Raw genomic sequence first — 12534 nt, 5'->3', positions numbered from 1 at the left:
AAAAACCTGGAAATAAAACAATTTAAAACACTTTAAACCAAAACTTCTTGCTTTTACTTGGGTTAATTTAACCATAAAAAAATGATACCGATCTTAATTAAGAGGTTTGTAAAGTACTTAAGTTTGTCATTTTGTTGACATTTAAATGTAATTTCCTCTAAAAACTATTCTTAGGTATCAACTAACTAAACTGAACTGTTGGTTTAGATTATTGTACTACCAGATAAGATAAAATTTGAGATAATTTACTAGAGAGCAGCCCAGTAATTTAGGAGTCTATGCTGTTTTAATACTTACCCCTGAGGCTGTAGGTTGTGTTGTGGGGGAAGTATTTTTGCTGCAATCATCTGAGTTAGAAGAGGTGGAAGTTGGAGTCATGGGAATGGAATTATTGCTATTACCTGCAACAGTCAAAATAAACCTTATAAATATACATATGCTCTACTGTTAAGGTTGGCAAATACTTTACAGTCAAACGTCATTTTAGTATATTTACCAGAGCAAGTCTTTGATTTATTTATGTTCTTAGGTTTTCGTTTCCTGGTTTGAATTCCCTCTTTTTTCATAGCAAGTGGTCTGGGCACCTAAAAAATTTTCACATAGGCCATAAATTTAATATTATATTGAAGAAAAACCAAAGACCCAACATTGGCACTAAAAGCTCTCATTTAAAAGAATTTGGCGGCCGAGTGCAGTGGCTCACGCCTCTAATCCCAGCACTTTCAGAGGCCGAGGCAGGCAGATCACCTGAGGTCAGGAGTTCGAAACCAGCCTGGCCAACATGACGAAACCCCGTCTCTACTAAATATACAAAAATTAGCCAGACTTGTTGGCGCATGCCTGTAATCCCAGCTACTTGGGAGGCTAAGGCAGGAGAATCGCTTGAACCCAGGAGGTGGAGGTTGCAGTGAGCCGAGATAGCACCACTGCACTCCAGCCTGGGCAACAAGAGTTAGACTCCATCTCAAAACAAGAAAAAAAAAAAAAAAAAGAACTTGGCATAAATTTCAATCCAATTTTTATACACACTCAAGATCCCAAGTGCACAAAGACTACACTTTCCTCATCAAATGCAGAGATTCCTTCAGAAAGAATGAGATGATTTGCCAAGGAGAATTTAATTCCTTCAACTTAACGTTTATTGTTTGAAATGAGTAGCTATTCATTGAAGAAGTATTATTTCAAAGAGATCATGTATTTCCTTCCTCCTACAGATGCAAGGTTATTTTTCTTTTTAAGATTGAGTTGTTTATTATATTTTGTGCAATCCTTTAAAATGAACTATGAAATATTTCAAACTATAACTATTAAATGCATTACTCTTTTGCACAAATGTCTGATTACATTCAAAATTTTTAAGAGATATAGACTAGTGATTGTGCATTTTTTATTGATTTCCTTAATTGTGCATTTTTAAAAACAGTTACTACCATATTACCAATTCTAAAATACACACTTTTCACATTTTCACATTTCTAAAACTGGAATGTGTCTTAAATGAACGTTTGCAATAGTTCAACTGGTAGCATTTTTTGTTTCCTACTGGTGCATAAGGTAATATTTCATATTATAATTAAAAGCACCTTCAATTCAATAAATATATTCAGTATGTACACTGAATATATTAAACATATTCAGTAATAAATTATATGCATTCAAATTTTTCACTTGAGTATCTTTCATTTGCTGATTCTTTGTAACTGATATCACATACAAACCAGATACTAAATGTATATACAAGTGAGCAGAATACATGGCATACCCCATGGAGTTTCATGTAGAGTCCACAAGCATTGCACACGGGTTCACCCTCGGCGTTTCTGCGCCATAAGGTGGTAGTTGTGGTGTGACAGTTGGCACAGGACAATCCAAGCCGCCGTGATGAAGGCTAGAAACAGTACAAGAACATAAGTGGAAAAATATAAGTGACATATATATATATTACATACATACATTAAGGTATTTTGTCCCTGTCATCAACAAGTATGTATCTGTTTTATTATAAATGAAATGGTCCTTGAGAAAAAAAATTGCAGTGTACTTATACTGACTTTTCTGGGCCAAGAAATTTGAGGTTTGCATAGTATGCTGGACCCTATAGATTTGATTTACTTCTCCAGCTAGCCTGTCTCCGTGAATTCAAGAATACCCGGGAGCAGTCATATAGTTGGCCAATAACTTCATGCAAAGCTTTTACCAGCATCATATCAAGGAGAGTTTCATCCCTGGTTTCTTCTCCAATTTAGAGTTTCCCAGATACTACTGGTATCTTTTTTAGGGGAATTAAAAGATTTTCTAAAAGTTGGCCAAATAGAGTTATACTCAAAACACACCAGAAGTAACAACACAAGTAGACATTAACATGAAAGTGCCCCACCTCCCTGCCGCCCACCCCCCACCGTGGACAGCAATTGGCCGTGCACTATAGTCACAGGTCTAAGATTTAGGTCGTGAAATGCAATCACAAGCCACTTGCTAATGTGCTAAATGGCTCTGGGCAGTCTCCACTTCCCCTGAAAACCGGAGATCACCAGGTCTATTTCTCAGATATATGTAAAGGAGTAAACCAGAAACTTTGAAAGTACGTTAATGGAAACTTTGAAAGTACATTATTAGAAATGGCTTTCAGAAGAGGGGTAAAAGTTTTTTTTAAAAAAAAAAAAGAAATATATTTGAATACATTCCATAATTACCATCATGATTGCCTGCTGCCTGCATTTTTGTTTTATCTATTTTACAAAGGATACGAGCAAATTTTATGGCATAATCTTAATGCTGCCACTGTCTTAGATGCAGTGATACTAATATCAGTATTTGCCCTATCAGTATTATTCTCAACTTTCGTTCATGCAAAGGGTTAATTGGTATTACCAGGAAAGGTAAAAGGCCACCTGTCTGCCACTGTCACTCCCATTTCCATGTTTTCTTTATGCCCATAACAGCCTTAAAGGGAATTTATTACCTCTAGATTACTACATGTTAATTATAATAAGCTAACATAACTTCTTACCCAGAATGGCAAAATATAAAACTCGTTTTTAAGTTGCCAAGCTTAAATTTCCTTTCAAATGCTGTAAATTACTTTAAAAATTGTGACATAGCTTCAGTTAAAAAAAAAATGGATGCTTGCTTCAGCAACACATATACTAAAATTGGAAGGATACAGAGAAGATTAGCATGGCCCCAGCGCAAGAATGACACCCAAATTCGTGAAGCCTTCCATAGTTAAAAAAAAAAATCAGAGAAAGATTCAGGACCAAACCAAGTTGAAAATTACAAAATTTGGGAAGTTAAGATCAATTGTAAAGAATGAAGAAGAGAGAAATGTAAATTGAGTATGTATCGAATATTCACAGATTACAGGACAGAGACTTCCAAAACCTTTGCTGGGAAATTTAAAAGATGAAATTAAAATCTGCATTTATGGTTTACATCCTGTTGCATTACTTAGCATCACTCTACAGAGAAGTTATAAACAGAGACACTGGCAAACCTTTTAGCACTACAACATTTCTAGGAAGTCAGTGCTAAGAATCAATTTGCCTTTAGTTGAAATGAGTATGCTTGGCTCACAGGAGAGCTACCTGGGAAACTGCTTTGCTAAAATGATGACAACATATTAACAAAACTTTACACATCCAGGCTTTTCTTTTTTCTTTCTTTGTGGTTAAAAGAAAATAATTTTTTAGGAAAGGATTCCTTTCTCTTCATAAATGTGAAATCAGTAAACAAGGGACAGGAAGGTTCACTTTATAAACCAGCCATTTATGACAGTTTCCAGTGGAATTTGGAGCCAATGTGAAGCAAACTTGTTATCAGAATTTGCCATTATAACAAAGGACTTTATGACTGTCAACTGCAGATCATAAGTGAAGCCAGTCCTCATAAACATGTGAAATGCAGGTGAATGGGTTATAAAAGTTCCTTGTAACAAGTGATCTCAGTCATATTCCTCACTGACAAGGAATTCAAGTTACACCATAAATCTCTTATTTTGCAATGTATTGCAAGTTCAAATTCACAGTGATTGGTTCTATAGTGCTGGCTAAACAAACTTGAGTTCAACATTCTGCTTCTGAGAACTAAGCCAGATCCATCAAAACCATAAATAAGAAGCCCACAAGGAGACCTAATTGATAGTGACACACCCTTCAATTGGTATCATTTATAACCCATTTACAAAGCATATTTGCTGACCTTGGTTATGGCCAAGACACCTGCTAAGCACAAAGAAAGCTAACGATTCAGAAATGCTAAAAACTGTTCTTTTTTTTCCTTCTAAGTTATTTTTACTGGTACATGCACAAAACAAATGGCACTATCTAAATGTTACTAGATCAAATTTATAATGCAACTGGAACCTAAATGACTACTATTCCACCAAATTTTTGCTCAATCTCTAGAAAATGTTACCTTTGAAAGTTCAGTTAGTACTCAGCTCAATGTGCCTTTCCAGAAAAATAAATCGGTTTCATTGTTCATGTGTTGTCTATTATATGAAAACAAGGAACTTCTGTGGGATATTTTCCAGTTACTACTTTTTCTTCTTTAATATGATGCATTTAAGAAAACATGAAACCCACAGTCACACACTGCAGTTAAGGGTACCCTTTAAAGAAAATTTTAAGCTGTGGGAGGTTGTAACGAGTTTAAGGCACATACACTCATTAAATTAACCTCGGCCACTTTATTTTAAATGCATTAAAACAAAACCAACCATAAAACTAATTGCTTCTCTTTAAGGTGTCAGACTTACATTGTGATGCAATTTCACTCTAATCTATTTAACACAAACAACATGTGTAGCATTTGTTCCTGCTAATTAGAGTATAACAAATAAATTACTGGGATACTTAAGACGTCTGGCATCTAACTGTAACATATTTAGCTTTAAAGGGTTATTAGATTATGAGTACTTCGCTAAACAAATGTTAACCTTAGAGTGGGACTGGTGAAAGCTTTCCTTTATTTTCTCTATTACAGCGGTAAATACTCTCTCCGGCTAGGAAGCACACATAACAATGACAATACGAGATTAATCCCTGAAATCAGGATTCCCTTACTTTAAAACATGGTGGCCGGGCGCGGTGGCTCACGCCTGTAATCCTAGCACTTCGGGAGGCCGAGGCGGGCGGGATCACATGAGATCGGGAGTTCGAGACCAGCCTGACCTACATGGAGAAACCCTGTCTCTACTAAAAATACAAAAAAATGAGCCGGGCGTGGTGGCACATGCCTGTAATCCCAGCTACTCGGGAGGCTGAGGCAGGAGAATCGCTTGAACCCTGGAGGCGGAGGCTGCGGTGAGCCGAGATCGCGCCATTGCACTCCAGCCTGGGCAACAAGAGTGAAACTCCGTCTCAAAAAAAAAAAAAAAAAAAAAAAAAACAAAAAAACAGTAAAACGTGTGCGAATTGGGGAAAATGCTCAACTTAAGAACATACAAACCACACTTTTACTCAAGTTCTACAAAGTTCTCTGATTTTGAAATAACAAAAGTTAGAGCAAATAAATTTTCACCAGGCTCAAGGGCAATCCAAGATATGGTATTTGGGGATACACCTGAGGATAAGAGGTAGAAGTGACCAAGAAGGTGGAAAGGACAAAGTAAACGGCACCCAAAAGAATGTGGCTGTGAGGAGGCGTGAGTGGGTGGATTTCTGGCATATTCTATTTGGGGGACGAATGGTATAAGTGAGCATGGTTTTTCAAGCATAAAATCTAAACCATACACAGTGAAAAAAGTCTTCCTTCGCCCGGCCTCGGTAGGTCTACTGTTTTTCTCCTCGGGTTACCATCACCAATTTCTTGCCTATCTTACCAGAATTATTACGGTGCTTTGGCAAGTACACCTAGAGATATATAGATTATTTTTTCTTTTTTTGCTTAAAACATGGTAACATTTTGCACCTTCCTTTTTTGTTTGTTTTTGTTTTTGTCATTTACGGACGTCATCCCCTGCGCGTAAACATGGGGAAAGGCTATCTTGGCTTCCCAGAGGCCAGTTTCGGGGTAACTTCTACTTGGGCGCCAGCGGGTGGGCGTTGGAACAGCCGGGACAGGATGGTACCGCTGGGTCCCCGCTAGGGTGGGACCGCAGCGGCCGCACCTGTCCCCTGGGAGGGGGACGCCCAAGGCAGGCCGAGCCAGGGCGGGGCCGGCCGGGCCAGGAGAGCCCGGGGCCGGCCGCGAGCCAGGGGCAGGGCGGGTCACACTCACCACGCGCTTCTGCGGCTTGATGAGGGGCCGGCTGAGGCCGTTCATCTTGCTGTAGAGCCCGCAGGCGTTGCACAGGTAGTGGCCGGTGCCGTCCCGCCGCCACAGCGGCGTCTGGATGGAGCCGCAGTTCACGCACTCGCGGCTCTCGGACAGGTCCTCCAGCAGGTCTGCGGCGACAGCGGTGCGTGAGGGCGGGAGTGGGCGCGCCGGACCCGTCCCTCCCCGCGTCACCCCGGGGACCCCGGCCCCCAGCCCCGGTGCCCGGCTTCCCTGCCCGTGCCCTTCCCGGCTGAGCTTTTCTCCTTGGCCGCAAAGCCAGGAGCAGGGTTATTTCGTCACTATTGCTCCACTGACCATTTGTCCAATACTTCTGCACACCCGGAGCGCCCCAGTAGAGACTCCGGGAAAGAGACAGTGCTGGAAGCAGAGGACGTCAGAGTCCGAGATGAGCGGTGGGGAGGTCGGCTTGAGTCCCCTGACCCCTACTCTCAGGCTGTCCCGGAGCTTTTAAAGACTGAAATCCATCATCATTACAGTACGTCGTTGCCAAACCCGAGCAAGCCACACAGAAATACTGACCACTGAGCCCCGCTGCAACCCACAAATATCCGGGGACACAGCGAGGCTGCCTCATTAACTTTTATCTCAAGTAATTTTAAAAAGTATTTTCTACATCTGCCACCCGTCCATATGTGCCTCTTCTCCAATTAAAGATACACAAGTGAAATTAAAAGTACTATTCTTAGGCACCTACGTTAGTTAGAAACTAGAAATGAGAAGATTACTCTCATCTTTTCAGGGGAAAAATGCACTAACGTTAAGCACAGAGTTTTATTTTCATGCCACAAAGATCAAATGCTAAAATCCCGATTTAGAAGTGGGTCCAACTGCTTCTATCTGCAAAATTTTTATAAAAGGTTGATACCTTACTGATTGAGAAAATTACCAAGACCTTCCCAGTGATCATTTTGAGTTAGCAATCGATTTAAAATGTGTTTATTTTACATAATTTTATTATTATTATTCTTTGGTTAGTTTTCAGAATTCACAATAACCTAAACCTGCTAATAAAAACAAATCCTAATTAAGAGTAAATGTAACATTTATTACTTCTCAAGAAGGTTAAATATGGAAGAATAAATGTCTCTAAAAATGAGAAAGGTACTTATTGTAAGTATAGACCAAAAAAAAGTATAGACCGCCATTTAAGGTTCTTTAGATTATAGAAGGTTTAAATGTCCTAGTTCTGCATTATTGAAGAAGCATTCCTGAATCACTTTTTAAAGTAAATAAACATTACACTTCAGAGTTTTAGCTTAAGATTATGTGCTGGTGAACCTTTTGGTTCTTTCTCATCCCCTTGCAGTTTATTGCTTGTGTCTACTATCAACTGTGTGGTAACGATATTTAAATATGACTTTAGCATAAAAACTTTAATTCCATTAATACTATTTACAAAACAAGTCTCTTTTCTCATTTCTTATTAAGTTTTAAAGAAACTGGCATCCTACACAACCCGAGTTCAAAGTTGTCATGGGGATACTGCAACTTACAACACATCACAAAGGTTTATTCTTCTCCGCCCTAAAAGCCACTATTGACTACGGTAATCAGTAAAATGCTCAGGTCTTCAAGGACACTGAAGTTAAACAAGGTATTTGTCTTTGTTGTTGACTTTAAAATGTTACCTATCAGAGCCCCTCTGGATAGAGGAGTGGGGCATTCCCTGGAAAACCCAGTCCTATGACTGGGAACAATAAGAATCCTATTAGAAGACAGTGTGAACTCCCCAGGTAGAACTATTTAGTCATCTGAAAACCCAAAGACAAAATTTAATTAAAAGTCCACTTTGGATAAATACAACCTAGGAAGCTTGCTTATTTTTAGTTGAATAAAATCTCTCTCATTCCCTCCCTACCTCTTTCCCAAACCCACCAGGCAGCTATAATCCTGTAAGTGACTAAAAAGGAAAAAAAAATGCTGTCTTTATAAAAGCTGTAAGATATAAAAGCTGGGGGCTTGCTCACCAAGTTCCCCCTTTTCAACTCACCATTTCTCTCCTAACATGGCTGTTTGCGGTGCCCTTGGGGAGTGATAGATTCAGGGGAGAAGGGCACCACCACCTGTCTTTCTGTGTGTGGTACCAAGACACAGGGACTCACAGTTCTGCAGGCGCTTAGGAGGGTGTAGGACCCAGGAAATAAAGGAGTGTGAGGACTCTGAGCTCACCCCAAAGTAAGCTCACCCCATCTACCCAGTCAGCGAGAGGTGCATAGTGTGGGTTTCCAGAAGCCTCCAAATTGTGCGGGTTGATCAAGTTCAGCACTCAGGTTTTAGCTCTGGTGTTTAAAGTGTCTGCCTCCAAAAACGGTTTGTTTAAAAAAAAAAAAAAATCTAAGAAACAGGAAATCTAGCTAGGAAGCTGGCCTCAGAATACCTGTGAGGACAAGCAAAGTTAGGGTCACTCGCTCCCCACCCTTCACCCCAATACTGGCTTGGTCCCAGTCACTTCCTGATTTCCTAACAGACTCTATGCAAAAGCTGGGTGTTCCCAAATCCCTTCCCATTTTTTTAAACATACTTAAAAAAATACTTAAAAAAATAACAAATCTTCTGGGTCTACAGAAAATTCCTCTAACTGTGGTGTGCCCAGAAGATGAAAAAATTAGGAAAAGTGTAGGCTAAATTTAAAACAAAAAGAAACATATTAACTTGCCCACAACTGCCCCATACTGCCTCTAAAAGGATTTCTCATACAGGACCAGTTACTGTAAACATCAAAAGACTCTCTCAGCCATATGAAATGCTGGAAGATTGGAGGAAAGGAACCTGGAGATCAGGCTAAGGTGTGTCAAGAAATAGGCAGAGCTGCAGGCGCTGGCTCAATCTGCAGATACTACCCCTCACCCAACTCACAACACCCTTGCACATTCCCTACGGAACTCCCCGACTGACAAAATAAGCTTCACACCCAACCATTACCTCCTTAGAGATTCCCAGCCTCTCCATCTCTCTGCTCCTGGGAGCCAAACACGGGTCCCTATGCAGAGGTAAGGATGAGAGCCCTGACTCTCAAGTCCCAAGCCAACAGTGCAAATCTCAACAGGGTCCCCCGATCCCATTCCACACACAGGGGAAAAATGGTCTCCAGGGCCAGCTTTGCAGCAGAAGCAAAAAGAGGGAATTTCGCTGGGCGCGGTGGCTCACGCCTATAATCCCAGTACTTTGGGAGGCTGAGGCGAATGGATCGCCTGAAGTCAAGAGTTCAAAAACAGCCTGACCAACGTGGCAAAAACTACTAAAAATACAAAAATTAGCTAGGTGTGGCGGCGCGCGCCTGTAATCCCAGCTACACGGGAGGCTGAGGCAGGAGAATCGCTTGAACCCGGGAGACAGAGATTACAGTGAGCCACTGCACTCCAGACTGGGCGACAGAGCAAAACTAAAAAGAGGGAATTTTGAGACCAAGTCTTGCAGCGCTTGGAAGAAGACAGAAAGAACTCAGGCTATCAGAGAGCTGTTCAAATTGGTTCCCTCTCTTTCAGACCACTTGCATTTCCAGCGTGTCTTTTGCGGACAAGGTTGGGAATGTCCCATTTTATCCTAAGGAATCCTGGCCCCTAGGACTGACTTGCTGTCCTAAAGGTAGCGTCGAGGCTCCCACGAGAAGCACAGACCTGGGATACACAAGACACCGGGGTAGGACTGTTTGGAGTAATGTGCCTTCCTCCACTCTGCCACCTCTGTGACTCAAGGGGCCTCCCCCACACCTCCCCTCAAACAAACTACAATAAAAAAAGATGTTGTTTCCTTAGAAAGATTATCAAACAGGTGAAATATAAGGTAAGATAAGCCAGTTGAAAGCACCAAGGACGCAGAATGTTGCATCTGAGAAAAACAGCCTAACAGGGCTCCCACACTCCTGTGCTGGAGTAAACAAAACACTTTTCAAAACGAGGTATTTCCAGGTATTTTTGACAATAGCGTTTTCACGGTTTACCCCCTAATGGCTCCCAGATACAGGAAAAAATGAGTCAAATTGGAAACTGAAAAATTGGCGGGCTAAACTTCGAAGGGAGAATAGGTGCCCCAGCTCCAGGATCCCTGAGTTGCAGCCTGGCCATGTGAGCAGCAGCCCCAGACCAAGGCCCAGCTGATGCCAAGCCCAAGGGCCTATCCACCAGCTCTCCTTCACCATGAAGTCACAAGTCTGACCACTCCAGGTGCCCTCTCTTCTTTCCCTCTCTCCCTTGTGGGAGAGGAGACGCCAACTAGCTTCCCTAGGAACATCTAGGTTCTTCTGTTGTGCTCTTCTAAATACCCTTCTCTAGGAAAACACAAACACGCACCCTTTGGAGAGTTAAACTGGGTGAGCCTGCATGTGCTTGTGTGTCTGTTTGGGGGTGGATCAAGTGCCCGCCACTCTCCCAAACTTACTCCCATCGTGGAATTTCTTCCACTCACCCAAAGTAGGGTCTGCGATGGGGCTCAAGCGCTGTTAGTTCCCTCCCAGCCTCGTTTTTCCCCAATAGCAGATGCCATTCACTACTCATCAAGGCCCTGAGCTTCCCCAAGGCACGAAGGTACAGATGTGCATTTAGTCTCATCCGTGGAAAGGAACTTGGCACAACAGACTCAAGTCTTGGCACAACTCGCCTCAGCGCTACCGGACTCTGGGTTACCCAGCCACAGGCCTGCAAATCCTTCCTGGGACCAGGCCGACCTCCGCGCACCCGGACGAGAAAGTCCTGAAAACAGGGCCCGAGTGGAGCAGCTGCTCCACGTCCCCCGTGCGCCCCAGCGCTTTGGACCCGCACCCCGAACCTGAGGCGCGACCCTTACCTGCACTGGGACCCCGGGGCACCGGGAGCGGGGCTCCGGCGCGGCTCTGCAGGCTGTGCAGCACCGGGGTCTCGAAGGGTCCGGCGGGCCAGGCAGGCGTCAGTGGCGCCCCCACGTAGGGCGAGTAGGGGCTCGGATGGTGGTGGTGGTGGTGGTGGTGGTGGTGGTACGTCCCGTTCAGCGGCCGCGCGGCCGACAGCGAGCTGTACTGGGGCTCGCGGCCGCCCATGGCCGCCAGGCTACTGCCGCCGCCGCTCACGCCTCCCGCGCCCCCACTGCCCGCCGCCGCGTAGCCTCCCGGCTCCCGCGCGGCGCCGTTGGCCATGGGCGGGCTGGGAGAGTAGGGGAAGCGCGCCGAGACGTGCGCCGCGGCTGAGCCAGCGCCGCCAGGCCCCGCGGCCCCGCCGCCAGCCGCGCCGCCTCCGCTGCCGTATGGAGGGCTGTCGGCCGAGGCCTGAGGCCAGCCGGGGTGCGCGCCCGCGCCGCCCGCGTGGTTGGCTGGCCCACTGCCCGACCCCTGCAGGTGGTACGGTAGGCCGGGCAGCATGGAACCCACGCGGGTGGTGGGCACGTAGACCGGGGAGCTGGCCGCCGCCGCGGCTGCTGCCGCCGCGGCCGCAGAGTGCACGAAGCCGCCGGGCGCGCCGTCGTAGGCGGCCGGACCCTGGCTGGAGAGAGCGGCGAGGGTCTGGTACATCTCCTCCGGCTGCTCGGGTGCGAAGGGGCTCAGCTTGGCGCCGCGGCTGGACCACAGCAGCTTGCTGGCGGTCGCGGCTTGGTCGAGGTCAGTGAACAGCAGCAAGTCCTCCCAGCTCGACAGGTTGCCCCCGGGGCCCGCGACCCCAGGCGCCGAAGGTCCGTGGGGAGCCCCGAAGGGATGCGAAGCGTAGGAACTGAGCAGCAGCGAGCGGGCCGGGGGTCCGGCCGCCGCCTCCGTGTCGAGCTGAGGCGTCCCGCAGTTGCTGGCGCCGCCGGGGCCCCGCTCTCCGCCCCGGGAGCAGGAGGAGGACGAGGAAGAGATGGGGGAAGGCGGCGTGGAGGGCTCCCGCGCTGGAAAGGCTCTGGAGTCGCTGGCGTCCGCACCCGCGGCCCCGAAGCGCTTCGGCAAGCACCAGCCGCCGTCAGTCAAGGCCATCCACGGTCCGGCGCCGCTCCAAGCTGACGTCTAGCTCCTGAGGTGGGGTGGGGGAGACGGGTATGGTAGGAGATCGACGGGTTAACAAGAGCGTAGGCTGCACGCTACCTCGCCTCCACTCCTTTTTCTAGTTCAAATGGGATCTGACTTCTCAAAGATCCCATTTGAGACTTCTCAAAGATCCTATTTCTGCCCCGGGCGTGGAGATCAATAAGGGAGGGGAAGGGAGCCTGCGCAGCCGCCACAGGGCCCTGGAAGGGCTGGGATACCAGCCCTCCCTCAAAGGCACCGCTCCGGTCCCCGCGTCCTCCCCGCCCACCCCCTCGGCCGCATCCTTT

At 45.5% G+C, this 12534-nt stretch overlaps 1 protein-coding gene and 1 pseudogene across 2 annotated transcripts in view, besides 3 other annotated features; one reads left to right on the top strand and one right to left on the bottom strand.

The window, feature by feature from the left end:
* The window catches only part of GATA6 (GATA binding protein 6), a 32940-nt gene that overhangs the window by 19188 nt on the left and 1218 nt on the right, over positions 1-12534 (bottom strand). For both annotated transcript variants that reach the window (NM_005257.6, XM_047437483.1), the window contains exons 2-6: positions 11062-12233; positions 6220-6386; positions 1763-1888; positions 497-584; positions 298-401 (exon numbers count right to left, since the gene is read on the bottom strand). In NM_005257.6, the coding sequence (NP_005248.2) occupies positions 298-401; positions 497-584; positions 1763-1888; positions 6220-6386; positions 11062-12196 (1620 nt within the window). In that variant the 5' untranslated portion in view covers positions 12197-12233. The remainder of the gene's footprint in view (positions 1-297; positions 402-496; positions 585-1762; positions 1889-6219; positions 6387-11061; positions 12234-12534) is intronic.
* RNU6-702P (RNA, U6 small nuclear 702, pseudogene) lies at positions 3123-3229 on the top strand (annotated as a pseudogene).
* Positions 4414-5039: an enhancer, noted in NCBI's record as "OCT4-NANOG-H3K27ac-H3K4me1 hESC enhancer chr18:19758263-19758888 (GRCh37/hg19 assembly coordinates)". NCBI's record gives its function as "activates a minimal SCP1, AML or CMV promoter by ChIP-STARR-seq in naive H9 embryonic stem cells {active_cell/tissue: H9 hESC(naive)}" and the evidence as "EXISTENCE:reporter gene assay evidence [ECO:0000049][PMID:30033119]".
* Positions 10612-11496: an enhancer, noted in NCBI's record as "H3K27ac-H3K4me1 hESC enhancer chr18:19751806-19752690 (GRCh37/hg19 assembly coordinates)". NCBI's record gives its function as "activates a minimal SCP1, AML or CMV promoter by ChIP-STARR-seq in naive H9 embryonic stem cells {active_cell/tissue: H9 hESC(naive)}" and the evidence as "EXISTENCE:reporter gene assay evidence [ECO:0000049][PMID:30033119]".
* Positions 11497-12382: an enhancer, noted in NCBI's record as "H3K27ac-H3K4me1 hESC enhancer chr18:19750920-19751805 (GRCh37/hg19 assembly coordinates)". NCBI's record gives its function as "activates a minimal SCP1, AML or CMV promoter by ChIP-STARR-seq in primed H9 embryonic stem cells {active_cell/tissue: H9 hESC(primed)}" and the evidence as "EXISTENCE:reporter gene assay evidence [ECO:0000049][PMID:30033119]".

Source organism: Homo sapiens, chromosome 18 (assembly GCF_000001405.40).
Source record: "Homo sapiens chromosome 18, GRCh38.p14 Primary Assembly".
Taxonomy (NCBI): domain Eukaryota; kingdom Metazoa; phylum Chordata; class Mammalia; order Primates; family Hominidae; genus Homo; species Homo sapiens.
This window is presented reverse-complemented; position numbering and strand designations above follow the sequence as displayed.